This window comes from Homo sapiens, chromosome 1, assembly GCF_000001405.40.
Source record: "Homo sapiens chromosome 1, GRCh38.p14 Primary Assembly".
NCBI classification, from domain to species: domain Eukaryota; kingdom Metazoa; phylum Chordata; class Mammalia; order Primates; family Hominidae; genus Homo; species Homo sapiens.
The window spans coordinates 21,636,510-21,658,160 of NC_000001.11; the positions used below are offsets into that span (position 1 = coordinate 21,636,510).

Genomic DNA, 21,651 nt, shown 5'->3' on the forward strand with positions numbered 1-21,651 from the left:
GAGTAAAGCAACCTAGGCAGGGCATGGTGGCTCATGCCTATAATCCCAGCACTCTGGGAGGCTGAGGCAGGCGGATCACCTGAGGTCGGGAGTTTGAGACCAGCCTGACCAACGTGGAGAAACCCCATCTCTACTAAAAATACAAAAATTAGCCGGGTGTGGTAGCGCACGCCTGTAATCCCAGCTACCCGGGAGGCTGAGGCAGGAGAATCACTTGAACCCGGGAGATGGAGGTTGCAGTGAGCCGAGATCATGCCATTGCACTCCAGCCTGGGCAACAAGAGCAAAATTCCATCTCAAATAGAAAGAAAGAAAGAGAGAGAAAGGAAGAAGAAGAAGAAGGAGGAGGAGGAGGAGGAGGGAAAAGGAAGGAAGGAAAGAAGGAAGGAAGGAGGGAAGGAAGGAAGGGAGGGAGGGAGGGAGGGAGGGAGGGAGGAAGGGAGGGAGGGAGGGAGGAAGGGAAAGCAACCTGAGCAACCTGCCATGTAAGGTACCGAGCTCTGCATCAAGCAAAGGCAGAGTGAGCTTCTCAGAGGTGCAGCCAGGGAGATCTGAAGGTGTGGGAACGGGAGGAGCGGTGGGGGGTTTGACTGGAGGACCTCAAGGTGCCTCCCACATTTGAAATTCTTTTTTTTCTTTTTTTTTTTTTTTTTTGGTGGTGGTTGGGGGCAGGGTCTCACTTTGTCGCCCAGGGTGGAGTGCAGTGGTGAGATCTCAGCTCATTCCAACTTCTGCCTCCTGGGCTCCAGCAAGCCTCCCACCTCAGCCTCCCAAGTAGCTGGGACCACAGGTGCATGCCACCACATCCGGCTAATTTTTTTTTTTTGTAGAGACAGGGTTTCACCATGTTGCCCAAGCTGGTCTGAACTCCTGGATCCAAGTGATCCACCTGCCTCAGCCTCCCAAAGTGCTGGGATTACAGGAGTGAGCCACTGCATCCAGCCCCACATCTGGAATTCTTTGCCTCTTGATGACTCTAGGATCCCTGTAACTGAGGGCAGAGGCAATGGATGTTAAAATGTGCATATTCTTTGGTCCAGCAACCCCATTTCTAGGCATTTATTCTCCAGAAATATAACACCAATGCATAAAGATATATGAACAAAAAAGTCATGAAGCAGGGTTTGCAACCGCAAACATCTGGACGCCACTTCAATGTCCATTACAAGGAGATTAGTTAAATATATCAAACCATGGAATACTATACAGCAATGACAAAGAAGGTCTTTAGTCTTGATGGAAAAGGGGGTTTGAGGCATATTGTTAAGTGAATAAAGCGGGCTGCACACAACAAAAATCTCATTTGTAAAAATTTAAAATTACATGTCAAAGTTTACATGGCTGGCCGGGAGTGGTGGTTCACGCCTGTAATCCTAGCACTTTGGGAGGCCAAGGCAGGCGGATCTCTTGGAGCCAGGAGTTCAAGACCATCCTGGGCAACATAGCAAAACCCCATCTCTACCAAAAAAAAAAAAAAAAAAAACCACAAAAATTAGCCGGGTATGGTGGTGCATGCCTGTAGTCCCAGCTACTCAGGAGGCTGAGGTGGGAAGACTGATTGAGCCTGAGAGGTTGAGGCTTCAGTGGGCCAACATTGCACCACTGTACTTCAGCCTGAGTAACAGAGCAAGATCCTATTAAAAAAAAAAAAAAGAAAAGAAAAAAAGGCCGGGCATGGTGGCTCACACCTATAATCTCAGCACTTTGGGAGGCCAAGTCAGGTGGATCACTTGAGGTCAGGAGTTTCAGACCAGCCTGACCAACATGGTGAAACCCCATCTCTATTAAAAATACAAAATCAGCCGGACATGGTAGCGCATGCTTGTAATCCCAGCTACTCAAGAGGCTGAGGCAGGAGAATCGCTTGAACCCAGGAGGCAGAGGTTGCAGTGAACCAAGATTGCACCACTGCACTCCAGCCTGGGCGACAGAGCAAGACTCTGTCTCAAAAAAAAAAAAAAAAGAGAGAGAGAAAAGGGGCTTGCTGCGTATGGGACCCTGAGGCCCAAAAGCCCTCAGAATTTTGAGTGGGATGAAGCCCAGTTGGGCTGTGTCTGTCTGTCCGTCCTCTTTCTCTTTAAACAAAAACAAAAACAAAAAGAAAGTTTACATGGCTTATCTCTGAGAAGCAGGACCACTAGGAACTTCTGCTTTCTGTGGCAAATACTTTTCTGCACGGTTTGGATGTTTATAATGAACACTTAGTATTTGTGTAATCAGAAAAAAATTAAAGATTTTAGAGAGCTGAGCACTCACTATGACTCAGCTCCCTGAGCACCTGACTGCTTTACCCTTTTCCATCACCTTGAGAGGGAGGTATGACTCACCCCTTATTCCAAGGGGGAGAAGCTGACACGAAAAGAGACTAAACACCATGACCAATGTCCCTGAGCCAGGCGTCACAGAGCTGGGTTGCACCCCCATTCTGGCTGGCTCCCAAGCCCACACTCTTTCCCCTACATTAGGCATTAGACAACCTGCTCCGAGGGTCAGGGAAGAGCAGAGGCAGCACAGAAGTGGCCCAGGCAGCTGGGCCCAGGGATGTGCCCTGTGACTTCAGCTGTCACGTCCTGCAAGCCAGGCCAGCCGGGTTAGCATGTGTGGGGACAGGGCTGTCTACTTCATTTGTAAATGCAAATGTAGGCTCTGCTCCTAGCGCGGGCTCCATGCCCTGAGCTGCCCCAGGCTGGCAGGTGCCCAGCCCCACCCCTGGCACTACCCCCAGAAGCCTCAGGGTCACCAGGCAGGTGGGCACGTCCCAGCCCAGGCCCTTCCCTGGAGCTCTAAATAACTTTCTGTGTTGATCAACCTGTTTGTGGATGGATTTGGCATTGAAGGTCACTTGTCACCTTCTCAGTGACAGCCTGGAAAGGTGACAGTCACACCTGAGTGTGTCTGAGTCTGGATGGGCCAGAGAACAAGACCTGAAAGTCAAACGGAACTGAGTTCAAATCCTGCCTGTGCCAAGCTCTAGCTGTGTGGCCTAGGGAGAGTCCCTTCACCTCTCTCAGCCTCTGTTTCCTCGGCTATAAAATGGTGTTGAGAATTTCTCCCTGCAGGGCTGCTGAGAGCATTAAATGAGAGAATGCACGTGAAAGTACGTCCTAAGCTAGAAGCCACCTTGCACGTGTAGAGAAGAGTTATGACCTCACTCCTGTGGGGGCAGGCGGGGGGCACAGGCACATCTGTGCGGATGTGGAGTGAGCAAGGATCCACCCTGGCTGGACCCCAGGGCCCTGCCGCACAGACTCAGCCGGTGGGCGGGGCAGCGTCTGACACTTTTCCTGGGAGTCGGCACCGGGTGTTCCGCAGCTCTGCCTGGTGGTGCGAGAGGGTGTGTGTGACTCTGTGGGTGAGAATGGAGATGGGAGGCCCCGGCAGGAGCGTGAATGGGTGTGGGAGGGAAAGCGCTTGTGTCGCATGTTTGGATCTGATCACACCACCCACCTGCCTAGAAGGCCCCAATGGCTTCCCGCCGCAAGCAGGATCCAGACGCCCGCCTCACGTGGCCCACGAGGCCCTGCGTGTCTGCTCCCCATCCCCGGCCCCCCTCCCACCCGCCCACTGTCTCTGGCCTCATCCAGGGCTTCTTTCCTCCTTCTCCAGACTCCTTTCCGCTCCTCAAACCCGAGGTGCTCCTTCCCACCTCCAGGCCACTGCACACGCTGTGCCCCCTGCCTGTTACCCCCTTCCCGTCCGCTTGGATCACATTTCAGGTGCTATGTCTGTATTCAGTCTTCCAGAGCCCCCTCCCCAGACCAGGAGAAGCTGCTCCGAACCTGACCAGCTTTCCCAGAAGCCTGTCTTGGGCCTTCATGGATTTACCTGTTGCGTTTGCACATTTCATGGTGTGACCATTAAGCCACTGTCAGTCTCTCCTGCTAGAAATGGGGTTTCTTCAGGTCATGCCTGGGTCTGTTTGGGTCTGATCTGCTGCATGAATGAATGTGTATGTCTGTGCCTCTATGTTCATGATGAAGCTGTCTCTACAAGGGTCAAGTCTATGAGTGTGAGTAGGGAAATATGTGTGTGTGTACATGTAATGGGTCATCTCAAAGAACCTTTCCTCAGCCTGCAGGCAGCTGGGCTGGGAAAGGCCAAGGCAACCTGGGGCCAGTGCCTAGGCTGGCTGGGGTGAGGGGAGAACAAGCAGCAGTTCCCTTACCCCCGACTAAAATAGGTCCAGGGTCTTTGCGCCAGGTAGATCCAGTCAGGTGGGCTCCAGGCTGGAGGCCTGACTCTGCCCTGCAGTGAGCTCCACCCCTGCCTGCTCCTACAGGTTGGAGCCCAGCCTCCTGCCTGCACAGCCCAGCTCACTTGAGACTCAAGCCAAGCCTGGTCTTCCATGGCTGCCCACACTCCCCACCACCCCACCGGGCCTGTCTTGTGGGCAGCAGTTATTTTTTGTGTGTGTGTGGGATGGAGCCTTGCTCTGTTGGCCAGGCTGGAGTGCGGTGGTGTGATCTCGGCTCATGGTAATCTCCACCTCCTGGGTTCAAGCGATTCTCCTGCCTCAGTCTCCTGAGTAGCTGGGATCACAGGCATGCACCACTACGCCCAGCTAATTTTTTTTTTTTTTTTTGTATTTTTAGTAAAGATAGGGTTTCACCATGTTGGCCAGGCTGGTCTCAAACTCCTGACCTCTGGTGATCCACCCACCTCGGCCTCCCCAGAGTGCTAGGATTACAGGCATGAGCCACCACACCTGACTGGGGAGCAGTTCCTGATCTGAAAGAAGTGGGCTTCCAGCCTCTCTGCCTTCTCAGCCACCTCCACCTGTTGCCAGGAGATGATCTGGAATGTTCCAGCTTTGGGGCGGGGGAAGGAGTCCTATTCCTGCCCCCAATCCTTTACATTTTCTCTACCCTCTGCCTGGACTACTCTTCCCACAGCCAGCTCCTTCCCATTCAGGCCTCAGAGAGGCCCCTCCCTGATACCCTTGGCAAAGCCAGGCCTTGCACCCACCCCATCCGTACTACACATTACCCATCTGAAGCTACCTTAGCTGTCTGTCTCCTGCACTGGAGGATAACATGCGTGAAGCAAGGACCGTGTCTGTCAGGTTCACTGCTGCATCCCCAGTTCTTAGACTAGTACCTGGCATGTGGTAGGAACTCCGTAAGTATTTGTTGAATTAACGAGTGGCTAATGGAAGCCCTGAAAGATCCCAGGAGGTGAACATTGCCCGTTTGCAGGCATGGAAACTGAGGTTCAGAGAGGTTAAGTCTCTAGCCCAATGTCACACAGCAAACAGCTGGACCAGGTCAAACTTAGGGACAAGCTAACTCCACTAGAACCCCAGCACATCAGAGTGTATCACAGCCAACCTTCCCATTTCATAGGTATGAAAATGAGCCTCTGAGAGGGAGGGTGATGTTTCTCTAGGTCACTTGGGTCCGAGGCATGTGTTTCTTCCCTCCTGCAGCATGGGGTCAGAAACAGCTGCATTGTTACACCGGCCGGCCCTTTAAAAGCACCTCCTCACTGCCTCTCACTCACCGTGAGGCAGGGGCCATGAACACCCCCACTGCACAAAGGAATGAGCCAAGGCTCAGCAAGGTGACGGACTCCTCAAGGTCACTGGCCAGGACCTGGCACCAGGCCCATCAGACTCCAAAGCCAGTGTTCTCAGGGCCAGTGCCTAAGGCCAGTGCCCACGGCTGGGGTGTACAGTCACGTGTAGGCAGTCAGGTCACCCCCTGGCAGGCAGCAAGCTTCCAGAGGACAGAGTCTACACACCAAGCGCAATTCCGCACCCACTGCAGGCGCAGCAGGTAACCATGACCGCGATGATGGCAGTAACCGCAATAGCTGGCATCGACGGAGTACGTGCTCTGTGCCAGGCCCTGGTTTCAGGCCTTGGCACCCATTATCTCATTTAATCCCCCCACCAATCTTCCAGGTAGTACTTTTATTGCCCTCATGTTACAGGTGAGGAAACTGAGATCCAGAGAAGTCACCCAGCCAGCTGGTGGCCGAGACAGCATCTGCGGTCCCAGCCCAGACTCTGGCTCCAGGGCTTCCACAGCCCTGCACTAAGAGCACAGTCAGGGCCTCCCTGAGCTGCGGCTGACTCAGTCTCACACAGCAGCTCCTTGGAGCAGGGAGGAGGATGGGCGACTGGCACCCTAGCAGGCCTCTTCCCATGGTGGCTGGGGGGTTCAGAGCCTTCCAGCGTAGCCCACAGAAGTCCCAGCAGGGCCTACAGGGACATGATCTGGTGGCTGTCTCTCTTCCCTTCACCTGTCAGGCCCAACTCAGTCTTGAATCCAGCATGTGCCACCACACACTTTTCTCCTCCACATTGCTGACCTGCCACCTCCTGTCCCTGGAACATTCTCGCACAGTGCACCTCCCTTCCCCACTACACACACACACACACACACACACACACACACACACACACTGCCACTTGGCCCACTTCAACTTTTGAGTCACCTCCTCCAGGAAGCCCTCCTTGATTCCCAGATGTGGGCAGGAGTCCCTTCTCTGAGATCTCAGCAACCCTCACATCTCCCTAGTCAGCACATGTCATTCCCATCAAACCACCTCTTTCCTTATGACCCTCTCTAGACTCTGAACCCAGAAGAAGTGGCCTCATCTATTTTCTCCACCAAGTCCCCAACGCCCAGCACAGGGTTTGGCCCTAGGAGGGTGTCCCCACACTAAATGCTTATTGAATTAGTTTGCTGAATGAATGAATTTTGGGGAAGATCCTGAACTCAGAAGGCCTTTCCAGGATCTGGGCTATCAGAAAATCCCCTCCGAGGCTGGGTGTGGTGGCTCACGCCTGTAATCCTAGCACCTTGGGAGGCCGAGACGGGCGGATCATGAGGTCAGGAGTTCGAGACCAGCCTGACCAACATGGTGAAACCCCATCTCTACTAAAAATACAAAAATTAGCTGGGCATGGTGGCACACGCCTGTAATCCCAGCTACTCAGGAGGCTGAGGCAGGAGAATGCTTGAACCTGGCAGGTGGAGGTTGCAGTGAGCCAAGATCGTGCCACTGCACTCCAGCCTGGGCGAGACAGCAAGACTCCGTCTCAAAAAAAAAAAAAAAAAAAGAAAAAAGAAAAAAAGAAAATCCCCTCCTTAGCCATCTACTCACCCCCTGTGGCCACGACAGTGCCTAAAATTCTATCACTAGAGAATCTCTCTTTGGATGAATGAGTCTTTCCTCTCAAAATGCAAATGCTTAGTTAGAAGGGAGAACATCCCCCTGCGCATACACTCTGCACTCATTTCATTCGAAGCAATACTGTTTCCATTGTTATGGACAATCTGGGGTTCAGAGAGGCAGAGTAGTTGGGGTAAGGCCACACAGCAAGTAAGTGGAAGTTGAACTGGGTATTTGAACTCAGGTCTACCTAACAGAACTCAAATATTCCCATGCATCTCAGACAAATAGACCAGAGTTTGAGCATCACCAGGAGATAGGGGCACACAGGGCCAACCAGACCAGGGACCTCAGGGCGGCAAGAGTCCTCTCTTCATGATGCTGAGGATAGACGTGGGATAGCAGAGTTGTGCACAAGTGAGATGGGGACCCATTTCTCAAGATCACACAGCCAAACAGTGGCAGTCCCAGAGCCACAACGCATGTGGAGGGGATTTTTCTCTTGTCTCCTGAAGCTATAGAGGATCCTTCCTGGAAGCAGGGCGTCTCTCTGGCACTAGGCTCATCCCTGCCTCAGAGCCTTTGCACCTGCTGCTCCCTCTGTCTGGACACCCTGCCAGCTCCCCCATGGCCAGCTCCTCTCATCCTTCAGGTTTTGGTTCAAACACCCCCTCTTCAGAAAGGCTTTCCAGGACTCCTTCATTTTCCAGCCATACAGCGCAGGGTGACAAGCAAACTGGAGCCTGGCTACTTAAGCTCCAATCTCAGCTTTGCCAAGGGACCTTGAACAGGTTACTTAACCTCTCTTTGCCTCAGCCTCCCCAGCCCTAAACCAGGGTTCATAACGGTCTTGCCTCACAGGGCTGTTGTGAAGATCAAACCCATGAACGTGGGCAAAGTGCTCTGAAACACAGCCTGGCACGCGCTCAGCTCTCGGCAAGGACCAGCTCTTGTTAGCATGTAACCTTGCTTTGAAATTCAGTGGACCTGGCCGGGCGCGGTGGCTCACGTCTATAATCCCAGCACTTTGGGAGGCCAAGGCAGGAGGATCACAAGGTCAGGAGCTCGAAACCAGCCTGGCCAAGATGGTGAAACCCCATCTCTACTAAAAATACACAAAAAAATTAGCCGGGTGTGGTGGCAGGCGCCTGTAATCCCAGCTACTCAGGAGGCTGAGGCAGAGAATTGCTTGAACCACGGAGGTGGAGGTTGCAGTGAACCGAGATCGCGCCACTGCACCCCAGCCTGGGTAACAGAGTGAGACCCTGTCTCAAAAAAAAAAAAAAAAAAAAGAGAAAAGAAAGAAAGAAAGAAATTCAGTGTACCCATCAGAGGTTGTTTCCTTGTCTATTTACTTATAGTCTGCCTCCGCCATTCCCAATTTTACAGTTGAGGAAATCCAGGCTCAGTGAGGTGAAGTACTGCCCAAACCAAGCTCTCTGAGTATAGCGGCTAGGCCTGTCTCATTTTCTGCTGAATCTGCAGTAACTAAAACCATGCCTGGCCTACAGTACGTGTTCAGTGGTTACTGTGGCTGGATGAATAAATGATGAACAAATGACCACAGCTCTATCGCTCTGAGGCTCTGTACAGCCAGGAGCTTGGGCATCTAAGATTCTATTTCAGCCCACCTCTGCCCATTCTGGTCCCAAATGACCCCCAGCTCAATCGAAGTCTCAGCCTCTCTTAGAAGTGGCTGCCAGGGGCTGGGCATGGTGGCTCACGCTTGTAATCCTAGCACTTTGGGAGGCTGAGGGAGGAGGATCGCTTGAGCCCAGGAGGTCGAGGCTGTAGTGAGCTGAGATTGCCCCACTGCACTCCAGCATGGGTGACAGAGTGAGACCCTGTCTCAAAAAATAAAAATAAAAATAAAAATAAAATAAAATAAAGAGAAGTGGCTGCTAGGATAGCCAGGCTAATGAGCTGGGGACTAGCATCCATGCCCCTGTCCCCAGTAGAACCCCCTCACCCTGGCTTGGCCAAGGGGATGAGGCAGGAGGCCTTGGCATTTGCCTTGGGAGATCCCTGCCCAGAGGTATAGTGGCGGCCATGGGCTCAGGAAGCAGCTGCTAGCTCCCCCATCCCATACACTGCCAGCTGCCCGTCGGGGGCCTGCCCACCAGATGCATAATAGATGAGGAGGCCCAGCGGGCTGTGCCTGCTTGGCATTTCAGAGCCACTAATGAGGCCAGCCTTGTGCTTCCTGCAGCAGCACACAGGCCCCAGGGCCTCTGGCTCAGTGACTGCCATAAGGAGCCACCTGAGGACAGGGCCACCCACCCCAGCCCACCACTCAGCACAAGCAGCATCCAGGAGATCGAGGGCTAAAGGCATGGGCTCAGAGTGGCATTACTGTCAGTCTTGGTTCACCCCTCACTGACTGCATGCCCCTGGGCCACCACTTCCCCTCTCTGAGCGTCAGTTCCCTCATCTGTAAAATGGGGATGGACAGTAGTAAGGGACAAACAGTCATCTGTAAGGCTGGTGTCAGGATGGAATGAAATGATTCAGGGGAAGTGCTGGGCCCAGGGCCTGGGATACAGGAAGTGCTCCATATATGGGAGAGACTGGTACCAATTCTGTCAAGAGGAAACATCTCAGCACCCAGATGGGCCTTCCCAGCAGGACACATGGACTGAGCAGTGACTCCCGTTTGGGTGGCATTCAGGGCTACATCACTCCCCGCTCCTCCCTTAACTCATAACCAAGACCTTCCCCATTTCTGCAGCTTCACTGTCTCTGACCTAGGTCCCTTCCTCAGCAGAAGAGCTGGATTCAAATCCAGCCTTCACCAGCTGTGACTTTGAGCCAGAGCCTCCACCACTCTCAGTCCTGGTTTTGGCCTCTAAACTGGCAACAACAGGCCAAATTGCAGGACTGATGCCATGATTTAATGAGACCTTCAGAGTAAAATGCCTGGCATGCTGTCAGCTCTTAATCCTTTCTGGGTTCTGCCTCCACCTCCCAGGCTCCTAGTTTTAAGGCCAAAGTTGACTCTCCTCTTCCCAGAGGTATTTTCAGAACGCTCCTACCTTGCACAAGTCCACTTGACCATTCCTCTACCCTGACACCTCTCTACCTCCCACCATCCATTTGAATACACTTTAAATGTCCAGCCCCCATTCTAGGATATCTGGGTCCCTTAGGGCTGCATAATCAGTCACCCACTGTCCCACTGGCTCCCAACCCTCACACTGGGCCTCCTTCCTCTTGCATCTGCACACCTACTCTGAGGTCCTCCACTGCAGACAACCTGCTGAGAGGGGTTAGGGATGTGTAGGGGAACTCAGCCATGATCACATCTGGCCTCTACCAGGACTCACTGCTCCTTTAATCCAAGTCCTAACCTCTTAATCCTGTTTTGTAAAGGGGTGGGGGAAAATCACCTCCTCTAGGAAGCCTTCCCAGCCTACTGACAAGGTTTTACTTATTCCCCTCCCTGAACACACTCAATTCAATTCCACAAGCATTAAGCATTTATGGGCATGGTAGTTGCACAAGACCATGTGGAGGACAGAGACATGAGAAAAGTACAGCCTGGCCTTTATGGGAGAAAGTGGGGGCTAAGTTGAGCTCAAATGTGACTCAATGGGAGGCCGAGATGGGAGGATCACTTGAGCTCAGGAGTTCGAGACCTGACTGGCCAACATGGTGAGACCTTGTCTCTACTAAAAATACAAAAATAATTACCCAGGAGTGATGGCATGCACCTGTGGTCCCAACTACTCAGGAGGCTGAGGCAAGAGATTCACTTGAACCCAGGAGGTGAAGGTTGCAGTGAGCCGAGACTGCACAACTACACTACAGCCTGGGCGACAGAGTGAGACCCTGTCTCCAAAAAAACAAAAAGCGACCAAGCACCTCTCCTTTCAAGGAGTTCAGAGCCTGCTTTGCACTGCAGGGTTATGTGAACACATGCAGCTCACCTGAAGTCAGCTCCCGGAAATGCCCTATTCAACAAGCACATGTTGAGCAGCAAGTGCAGCCCAGAGAGGGAAAATGACTTGCCAAAGTCACACAACTAGAATGTGGCAGAGGCAGATTCAAGTCCACACCTGTCAGACTCAAGTCCACACCTGCCATGCTCTTTCCCCTACCCCAGGAACATTCACGAATGCATGCTCTGTAGCAGCAGAGGAGGCATTCTAAAGAGGGAATGGGGGTGTGGGGATCAAGAAAGAAAACACCCAACAAATGGTGACAAAGTTGGGCTGGAGGTGTGGCGAGGGCCTGTGGAAATGGAAGTGGAGGGACATCAAGGGGAGGTGATGCTGACTGGGCCATGTTCCCGTTGATCAGAAACACAGAGCACGGGAGAAGCAAGCCCCAAACTAGAAAAGGAGGTGGAGACAGCCCTTGAATGCCAGGAGATCATGATTAATGGTCAAAATGGCCACCACTGACGCATGGGCTGGAGTTAAGCGATGGCCTTTGGCAGCTGGGAAGGGAGGGCCTAGGGTTAGCACCTTGGACAGCGGCTCCAGCTAGGCGAGCACGGGCAAGGCATTTTGGGTAATGGGGCGTGTCCTGGGGAATGGCCGATCTTTACTTGATAGACGGGTCAACTGAAGCCCAGAGAGGGGATGGGACTCGCCCAAAGTCACACAGCTGGCCAGTTACAATCAGTCCTGGGCCCTCGTCTCTAACTCTTGGCTTAGGGCTCCCTGGGGTGGGCCTTCTGGGTGGCCCCTGTCTCTGAGTCTTCCCTCAAGCGCATCCTTCGTTCAGACCCTCCCTGTGGCCTGGTGGCCCTGGGACAGAGTAGGCGAGGTTTTGGGCTCTGCACAGAGTCTGGAAGATCAAGGTTCAAATCCCAACTGCTTGTGTGACCTTGGGCAACTCATTTCCCCACTCCGGGCTTCATTGTTCTCATCTGTAATTAGAGATAATAGTCCCTAACTCTGAGGTGTGGCCAGAGTTACATGAGATAACACGTCAGGCGTCTACTACAGTACCCAGTGCATAGCAGGTGCCCAACAAGTGGCAGTTGTCAGTGGTGTTATTACTGAACTCCCTGAAGGAAAGGATGGCATCTTCCTCACCTCTGCTTTTATCCCCCCTCAGTCTACCCCTGCTCTGAGCATAGCACACCATCTTGCAGAAGGAGGGGCTCAAATGGACTAGGCACAGCAGCAGGAGATGATGCCCAGAAAGGGAGAGGAAGCAGCCTGAGGTTGCATGGAGAGCATCAAAGGGAAATAGAAAGGCAGGCTGGGAGCTTAGCTGAGGCACCCTGTGTGCCTCCCACCCCAGGCCTGGCTTCCCAGGAGGGCTCTGCGGGGACGATGGTGCCAGATGGGAGTCGCCCAGCAGCTGGGGGGTACTGCAGGACCCACGGACCCCAGACAGCCCTGAGCAGGGGCAGGAAGCAGCAGCCAGAGCCGTCGGGGGGCTCTCCTGCTGGAGGTGAAGCAGCAGCAGGAGCAGCCAGCCAGGCCCACGTGATGCTGATGCCAGGGAAGCCCGGAGGCACCTGCCTGCTGGGGCATCAGGGTGCCACGATGTATCCCGAGGTGAGGCTGCACCTCCACCCATTGCCTCTTGGTGTTGAGAAGCTGCACATACAGTTGCCTCGTTCCCTCCTCCTCCAAAGAGAGGGCAGCCCCAGACACAGGAAATATGGGAGGAAGGGGTTCTGAGGGCTGTCGGGGGGAGTAACTAGAGGATTTGGGGGTCAGTAAAGGCTAAGGGAGCCCCAGCCCAGCGAGGGGCCACCCTGAGGTGGGAAGAAATAGAGAAGAAAAAAAAGGAAGGAAGCATTTAAGCAAAAAGGGCCTAAAATATGCCAGGGCCAGTTTTTGGTTTTGTTCTTTTTACCTTACACCCTATGAATAGGCATTTTAATCCCCATTTCACAGATGAGAAAATTGAGGTTCAGAGACATTAAGGAATTGCTGAAGTTCACACAGGCAGTGGCAGAGTGAAGATGTAAACCTGCTTTGCCTGCCTCCAAGGCTCTCTAAAAAAGTACTCTGGGGACAGTAAGAGGGTCTGCCCACCCCCTTGCCCTGAGAGGATGGTTGGAAGCTTGGTAAGGTCTGGCCTGGCATCGCAGGGGTAGGAATGGATTGGGGGTATCTGCAGGGACCAGCCAAGGAAACCCAGGCCCTCCTGAGAGTCCCCAGTACTCACCACACACTCCGGCGAGAAGTGAAGGACTTGTCCACCCTGAAACACAACAAGAGGGGCCATAGGTGAGGGGACATCCCTTCTCACCAGCTTGGCCCAGCATATCACACCCACCTGCACTGCACCACCCTCCCAGAGGGGCTGGAGAAGGTCCTGTTTCTAAGGATGCCTGATGCAGTCACTATCACCCTTAGGCTGCAGTCGCCTGACTGTCAGATTAGGGACATGGGAAGGCATAGGGGTTAAAGAGCCAGGAAAAGAGGCAGGACTGGGGGCAGTGGGGCAGGGGGCAGGGCTGTGGGGTGTTAGCAGGGGTGGGGGGACAGGTGGAGTAGGACAGTGACTACAGCAGCTTGGATCATGGCAAGGATGTAGGGGTGCGGCTGGGGCTAGCTTAGAGCCTTTCTAGGCAGGATGGAAGTTTGCTGGATATCTATGGTTTATGGTGGGCAGAAAGAACATCACCCCCAAGGCCCGTAGCCTGCCTCAATCCTGAAGCTGTTCACTCATATCCACCCAGGAAGCAAATGTCTGCGAATCTGGGAGGAGATCTAGGAGGAGCTTCCCCCCACCCTCACCCCAACACACGTACCCTGCTCCCTAAGACTTCAGGGGTACCCCAGACTTTGTCTCCCCCAAATCCACCCAGATCCAGCCCCAGGACGCATGTGTGGGTAGCACTCCCGCCCCGCCCAGATTCTCCTACTGCCCTCTGAGGGCACCTTGGTGCCGCTGGGGGCAGGGGCTGAGCAGCTGTTGGGACAACAAACAACTCGCCTCCTGCCCAGAGGTAAGAAGGGGATGAGGAGGGAGCCCAGCCCAACTCTGCCAGCAAGAGGACGTCCTCCGCAGGGCAGGGCTGGGGGCTCCCAGGGACAGCTGATGGGGAAGGCCGACTCTGCAGACAGTGAGGTCAGAGAAGCCAGGACTTGCCCAAGGTCATAGAACAGGACCCAGCCTGTGAGCTGCCCGTGTTGGCTGGCCAGGAAGCTCAGGGCCTAGCCCAGGCTCCTCTCATCACCTGACAGCTAGCAAGACCCCATATGGAAGGGTAGCCTCTGGCCTCCCACCCCACCCCACCCTCTGCTGGGGTCACCTCAGAAGTTGAGCGTCCACAAGGGGAAGGCAGCTTGGACACAATCCCCATAGCTCAGAGAACACTGACCATGCCCACACACAAGCCCCAGCGCTCCACACCCCAAGGTGGGTCCCATGGGTCCCTATGACCACTGGGAGGTAGGGCCTGGTGAAGGTCATGGAGCCGCTTGTCTGGCTGGGCAGGGGCTCTGAGCCCACTCTGTCTAACCCATCGTCCCTCCAATTTGCCAAATCTCCGCAACAGGCATAAATCCCCATCCCACCTCTGCACCCCTTGACCCCAAGATGAACCTGCTGCCACTCTGACCTCCTCCAGGCCTCCAAGCCCAGGCAGCCAGTGGCCCAGGGAGGAGGAGGTTCCTGAGAGCCAGGATGCAGGAAGGAGGGCAGCCTGGTGCCCAGGGTGGGCAGGACCTGCTAAGGGCTTCTAGAGTCCCTTTATCCAGAGCGTCACTGAGGGGCCCAACAGCTGCAGAGGCAAAGTGGGAGGTCCAGCAGAACCTCCCCCTGACCTGCCTGCCCCTACTCCCACATACCTATACATGTGAGCAGTTGCGCACACACGCATGCACACACACGCGCGCACACACAGGCGGAGTAGCCCCGCAGCCCCAGTCACATGCATAAGCGCCACTATCATGTGCTTAGACACAAACACAGCAATGTCCACCCTGCACTCACCTCCCCACACATGCACATGGACACGCAATGGGAACACACACAGACACAGAAACAGAAACACACACACACAGGCGCCACAGCACGACAGCCATGCGCGCACTGAGGTCAAACGCTCAGCCCCCACAGCAGTCATAGCCCAGGCCCACCCGCCCAAACGCGAGCACACCCCGCACGGGCTCCCCCCCACGCGTGCACACGCACACGCGCGCACGCGCCCCGCCCCGCGCCGCGCCACGCCCTACCCGCCGTAGGCCCCGAAGGTGAAGCTGCGCTTCCGGCCGCTCATGGTGCCGCCGCCGCCGCCCGGCCCGGCCCGCGCGAGCCGGAGCCGCCTTCCCGCGCCCGGGTCACCTTGGCAACGCGGCCGCCCCGCCCCCGCCCCCGCCCCAGCTCGGATACGTCCGCGCCCCAGCGGGCCGCGGTCCAGCTGCCGGGGGCCGCCGGCGCAGAAAGGGCCGCTTGTTCGCGCCGCCCTGGGCCGGCCGGGCGGGGGCTTCGCGGGACTTTCCGAGCCGGGCCCAGCCGGGCGGGGATTGCGGGGCCCGGGGCCCGGGGCAGCCCCTCCCCCACCCCCTTCCCGGCCGCCGCCCCCCGTCCAGGCCGCAGACCCTCTGTTGGAGGGACGCCCTCCTCCCGCCCCCTCGAGCCGCCGCGCTCCTCGGCGGATCCGTCCCCATCATCACGAGCTGGGAGCTCCCTCCCAGAAGCCTGGGTCTGCACGGCGGGCATGTCCCGCCCCTCCCTGTCCCTCGACTTTCTCATCTGTAAAGTGGGATTCCTCCCGCCGGCCTCCTAGGACCTGGGGATGACGAAATGAGTTCACGCACGTAAAGCGCTCGGCCCAGGCCCTGGCGTACAGCAGATGCTTAATAAATGCCGGGTACAAGAGTTCCGCAGGGGGACAGCGTTCTACCCTTCCCGCGAACGAATGAGTGAATGAACAGAGCCTCCAATAGCCCCTCCTTGCCCACCTGTCTCCCCTTCTCCCAGGAGTCCCCTTCCCCTTTGCCCTGGTGAGGAGGAAGAGCAAAGGGGAGGAGTGGAGACGCCCCCCTCCACTCCCCTCTTGAAAAGTCATGCAGTCCAGGTCCCAACCTTTAGAGGGAACTGGGCTCTGAGTTCTGCAGCAGGTACTCATTCGCTCACTAAACACTCCAAGTCGCTCTTCTGCACCCAGCTCGCCCAGAGCTCACAGTCCAGCGCTCTTCCTCAGAGTAAGCTGTTTCCCCCACCCAAGTGGAGCTGTGTCAGCAGACACCGGGTTACTAGCCCTGACCCCAGAGCACACTGCCCTCCAGCCCAACACCCAGTCTTCCCCCCATAGAGGGAGAGATCCTTCCCCCAGGCCCTGCACCCAAGGAGGCCCCCACAGTCTCAAGGTTTGCTATGGGATTTTCTGTTTAAACAAACTGCAGGGCACAGATGCAGCCGGGGATGAGGGAGGAAGGATGACCAAGGGCACAAGGACAGGGCAGCAGGGATTCTGCAGACGCCTTTCCGGAGCTGTTCCACCTGGGACCCGGGCCTGGGCTTGGTGAGCTCCAGCATCCCCTGGGAAATGACGAGTCTGGGTACCAGGGTCTACGGTTTGTCTCACCTAGGCAGGGTAAGTGGCGCTGCAGTTTCCCCATTTTAGACACGAAGAAATTGAGATCCTCTCTCACACCAATTACTTCTCTCTTGGGGATCTGCCCTCAGCCCCCTCTCGGCTCCCACCTGGGACCTCTTCTCTGCACATTCTGGTGGGTGCAGGAGCCCTCAAGAGCCCCTTGCAGGGTTCAGAGCCTGGACAGGGCAAACATTATTTCCTCATTCCTAGAACTATGTCCCTTGGTTTTCAGTCCTCAGAGGAGGGTGTGGCTTCCCCTTGCAAGGTGCTCTGGAGCCTGGACTGGGCCCCTTCTGCTCTGGGCAGTGCTGTAGAGTCCTGGGGGGAGGAATCACACCAGGGCAGGCTCCTGAGGGGTGGGTCCTGAGAGCACTGAAGTTTGCCTGAGAAGGGAGGAACTTCCTTCCTTCCTTCCTTCCTTCCTTCCTTCCTTCCTTCCTTCCTTCCTCCCTCCCTCCCTCCCTCCTTCCTAAGTAGTAGCAGCAACAACCTTCCTCCCTCCCTTCCTCCCTCCCTCCTTCCTAAGTAGTAGCAGCAGCAGCAGCAGGGCCTCTCAGAGAGGTGGGAGGCGGTTGGGGCAGAGGACTGAAGAGCTAGGCCTGGGCTATGAGGATGTGCACAGTGCTTGGGCTGGGGCCTGGACTCCAGCCACATCTGGGCTGCTGCATCCCCTTCGACATGGACCTATACCTCGCCAGTCTTTTCAGTGGGAATGATTCCTGAGTGGTTTCTGCATGCCCAGTTGGCAGAGTAGCCAAGGGGCCGCCAACGTGGCAAGTTTCCCAGCCAGGCCTGGCCCCCGGGAGGCCCCACTGGTACTGGGACAGTGGGCCCTTGAGAGGGGCCATGGGGGCTGAAGGGTTCCCACCGAAGACAAAGAGCCCAGTGTGGGCTCCAGCCTCTCTGCTCTGACCAGCTGCAGCTGCCTCATTGGCAAGGGATGGGGGTGGGGGTGGGAGTGGGGGTGGTTAGTGGGGGGTCACGTTCCCTTGGCCAGGGTTGCAGCAGGACAGTCCCTGACCAGCTCCTGGTCCTTTGGTGACGGCTGAATTTAAATGCATCCTGTTAACCTGCAAGACCACTTCCAAGAATTTATCTTCTGCATCATAGCATGTGAGCCTGTAGATGAATGGCAAGGACAATGGACATTGAGGCATGTGCTTATATCCTCACCGTTGAAGGCTAAAATCTCAGCTCTCCCGCTTGTCACCTGTGCGACCTTGGTCAAGTTACTTAAGCTTTCTGAGCCTCAGTTTTTTCATCTGCAAGATGGGATTTATGATGAAAATAACCGTATCTACTTCAAAGGGTTTTGCCAAGGATTACATAAGTTACTAATGATAAAGCACTGAGAAGAGTAGAGTATTTGTCACTTAACATGTGTTTGTTAAGTAAAACATTTGCTGACTGAGCACGGTGGCTCACATCTGTAATCCCAGCACTTTGGGAGGCCGAATAGGGAGGATCACTTGAGAGTAGGAGTTGGAGAACAGCTTAGGCAACATAGTGAGACCTGTCTCTACAAAAACTCTAAAAATTAGCCAGGTGTGATGGTGCACATATGTAGTCCCAGTGATTTGAGAGGCTGAGGTGGGAGGATTGCTCAAGCCTGGGAGGTTGAGGCTGCAGTGAGCCCTGACTGCACCACTGCACTCCAGCCTGGGTGACAGAGCAAGACCCTGTCTTAAAAAGAAAAGAAAAAAGAAAAAGAAAGGCTAGGCACGGTGGCTCACACCTGTAATCCCAGCACTCTGGGAGGCCAAGTCGGGTAGATCACTTGAAGTCAGGAGTTCAAGACCAGCCTGGCCAACATGGTGAAGCCCCATCTCTACTAAAACACAAAAATCAGCCGGGCATGGTGGTTGGCACCTGTAGTCCCAGCTACTTGGGAGGCTGAGACAGGAGAATTGCTTGAACCCAGGAGGTGGAGGTTGCAGTGAGCCAACATCAGGCCACTGCATTCCACCCTGGGTGACAAAGCAAGACTCTGTCTGAAAAAAAAAAAAAAGAAGAAAAGAAAAAAAATTGTTGTAGCAGCATCATTTTTATTAGGCTAAACTATATGAAGTTGCCATTTTTGTAGGGCTAGCAAAGATTTATTAGTAAGAATTCTAAAACTAAATGGCCACCCAGAGGAAATTTGATAAATTATGGTCCATGTATGCTATGCGGTGCCATGCAGCTATGGGACAGACTGGGGAAGATCTGTGTGTGGGCATGTGGAACAGCCTCCAGGACTGACACACACACACAGAGGCAGTGTGACAGGGACCAGGGCTGGACCAGGCTCTGATGCTTCCTAGCTGTGTGATGTCAAACACATTAGTAACATCCCATGACACTGGCCTCACTGGCCCACTGTGACAGGGACATCACTGCTCCGCAGTCAGCACGGGGTGCTTGCTGACTGGCACTGGGAAGTCACTGCCATCGTTGAAGGAGTTTGAGCCCCCTTCTTCCTTGGCCTCCAGCCTCTTACCTAGAAAACAGTGCCAGGCTGCTTTCCAGGGTCCAGGCCCTCCCTCTGAGAGGAAGCCTCCCCTTTGGGCCTCCTAGATTTGTACCCAAGTTGTTCAAACAGCTGCCAGACTGTAGAGGAAGAGAGAAGAGCACCGGGTGGAGGGTTGCAGAGCTGCCTTTCCAAGTTCACCTCTTGTTGAACTCTGGGTGTTCCACCTACCTACCTCCAGCTCCCCCTTTCCAGGGAGATGGAAGGGGAGAGGGAGGAGCAAACCCTGGGAAGATCTCAGGTCTGGGCTCTAGGTGGGGCTGGTGGAGCCAACACTTGCCAGGGCCTCCAATAGCCTCCTCCCCTCCCCGAGTCATACTCATTCAGGATATCTGCCCCAGGCCTCTTGGGCAGGAGAGGAGGCGTCTGGGCTTCCTGCCCTGGCCCAGGCAGCCTCTTGTGTGGCTTTGCATTAATCAGTTTTCCTCGCTGGGCCTCAGTTTGCTCATATGTTAAACCCCTATTCTCACTTTGCTGGGTTAAAGACCTAACAGTGGGCTGGGCGCGGTGGCTCACGCCTGTGATCCCAGCATTTTGGGAGGCTGAGGCAGGTGAATCATGAGGTCAGGAGTTCGAGATCAGCCTGATCAACATGGTGAAACCCCGTCTCTATTAAAAATACAAAAATTAGCTGGGCGTGGTGGCACCCAGCTACTCAGGAGGCTGAGGCAGGAGAATCGCTTGAACCCAGGAGGCAGAAGTTGCAGTGACCAAAGATCACACCACTGCACTGCAGCCTGGGTGACATAGCAAGACTCCATCTAAAAAAAAAAAAAAAAAAAAAAAAAAAAAAAAAAAAAGACCTAACAACGGAAAGATACATTTGCCTTGAGAGAATTCTGCTAGCTCTGAAAGTATCATTATCCTTACTTTGCCTGTGGCCTTTCTAGCCAAGCCACACCAACCCAATCCCAGGAAGCTTCTGGAAAAAGAGTCTCCTGGGGGTTCCCCAGCCCCTGGGAAGGGAGGGAAGAGTGGGTGTGACTTGGCTCACAGCCCTTCCCTAGGCAGCTGGCCAGTGAGGTTACTGAGCCAGCCTCTGCCCTGGCTCTGAGACTCCTGCTCTATTCAATGGGTTTCTGAAACCCCTGCCTACTTAAAGGGACCCCATCAGGGACCAGGAAAATCTGGCCTGGCCAGAATACCTGCCCCCACTCAGGCCCTACCCCTGAGGATGTGTTTCTCATCTCCATGCAGATCATGTGGCTTGAAAGGCCCTGGAAGCAAAGCCCTTCTGGAGGCAGCACCCAGGTGTACGGTCTTTCATTCCTTCCCCCATTCATTCAGTATTGAGCACCCACTGTGTGGCTGACACTGTATTGAGCACCCACTGTGTGGCTGACACTATTCAGACACTGGCGATAGAGTCTGAACAAGACAGACAAGGTCTCTGGTAGACCTGTGTGCACAACTGCACACAAACTTTCCCAGGTCACACATGCACTTGGCCTAGTACCGTGCCACGCACATGCAAAGAGTCATCTAACTCATGCCTGTAGAGATCACATCAAGATCAAATGCATGCAGACAGGCTCACATGAACATCAGCCCCCATGCTGCAAACCCACAAGTACGTGCACATGCAAAGGTCAACTCCAGCTCCCACCCTTAGGTCCCCCATCAGTGCACATGCACCTACTGACTCCGGCTGCGTTAGTACATGCATGTAAATACACACTGATGACAGCACATACAGGCACAGGAATCTCAGGCCCACACATCCTTACTCAAATCACATTATTTATGTTCATACAATATACACAGACAGATGTGTACACACCTCACAAACACGCATGGAGCATCCAGCTAACTACTGGGAAGAAATAAAGGTAGGAGACAGAATGGCTCTTTGGGGGTCAGAGAAGAGTGCAATTGCTGCATCTCCAGGATTGCAGAGTGGAGGCCAAGACACCTCTCATGTATTACAGGCTGGTGTCTAGCCGGCCAGCCCCCATCTCCTACCTCCACTGCTATGGGCGTGGCCCTCCCAGCCCATTTTCGGGGCAGTTGGACAAAGCTGGGAGACTGCTTGAGGCCCAGAGCTCCCCTCAGGAAGCTGGGCTGGCGGAGTCCTGACCTGGGGAGACCTGCCTGTGGCCCCAGCTCTGCTGGCAACCCACCATTTCTCATCACAAGTGCCTTCCCACTTCTGGCCTCTGCTGGTTCATCTATAATGGGGGGAGAGAGTTTCCCAACAGTTCCTTATGATACCACCCTCCCAGGAGGCCAACCAGTCTGGGACTCTGAGAGCCCCTCTCCACCCCGACAAGGCCCTCATTGAGGCAGTGGCTCTCAACAAGGGTGGCTCTGCCCCCCAGAGGGCGCCAGGGTGGTTTCAGTCCTCAGAAATGACGGGGTCGCCACTGTCATTCAGTGGGTGGGGGACAGGAAAGCTACGCTGGTGAGAGTCCCACTTCAGGAGATTTGTTGTTCATCAGATATCCTCCTAGATATTCAAGTGGGTAAAAAGCCCGGGTAACCCATCCTAGAACCTAACTCTGGTTTA

At 54.7% G+C, this 21,651-nt stretch overlaps 1 protein-coding gene across 121 annotated transcripts in view, besides 3 other annotated features; it reads right to left on the reverse strand.

Moving 5' to 3' along the window:
- Nucleotides 1-21,651, reverse strand: part of RAP1GAP (RAP1 GTPase activating protein) — a 73,137-nt gene that overhangs the window by 40,289 nt on the left and 11,197 nt on the right. For 80 of the 121 annotated variants that reach the window (NR_170899.1, NR_170921.1, NR_170904.1 and 77 more), the window contains one exon: nt 13,252-13,287. The exons of 18 other annotated variants lie outside the window; for them this stretch is intronic. Coding sequence is in view for 13 of the 103 variants with exons in the window: in NM_001388282.1 (NP_001375211.1) it covers nt 13,252-13,287; nt 15,270-15,313 (80 nt within the window). In the remaining 90 variants the exon portion in view is untranslated. Of the gene's footprint in view, nt 1-13,251; nt 13,288-14,609; nt 15,390-21,651 lie in introns of those variants that run through there. 23 more of the 121 variants (NR_170926.1, NR_170924.1, NR_170923.1 and 20 more) reach the window with 4 other exon arrangements.
- Nucleotides 3,133-3,962: an enhancer, noted in NCBI's record as "H3K27ac-H3K4me1 hESC enhancer chr1:21966135-21966964 (GRCh37/hg19 assembly coordinates)". NCBI's record gives its function as "activates a minimal SCP1, AML or CMV promoter by ChIP-STARR-seq in primed H9 embryonic stem cells {active_cell/tissue: H9 hESC(primed)}" and the evidence as "EXISTENCE:reporter gene assay evidence [ECO:0000049][PMID:30033119]".
- Nucleotides 14,613-15,363: an enhancer, noted in NCBI's record as "H3K4me1 hESC enhancer chr1:21977615-21978365 (GRCh37/hg19 assembly coordinates)". NCBI's record gives its function as "activates a minimal SCP1, AML or CMV promoter by ChIP-STARR-seq in naive H9 embryonic stem cells {active_cell/tissue: H9 hESC(naive)}" and the evidence as "EXISTENCE:reporter gene assay evidence [ECO:0000049][PMID:30033119]".
- Nucleotides 15,353-15,422: a silencer, noted in NCBI's record as "silent region_384". NCBI's record gives its function as "represses an Ori minimal core promoter by ATAC-STARR-seq in GM12878 lymphoblastoid cells {active_cell/tissue: GM12878}" and the evidence as "EXISTENCE:reporter gene assay evidence [ECO:0000049][PMID:35858748]".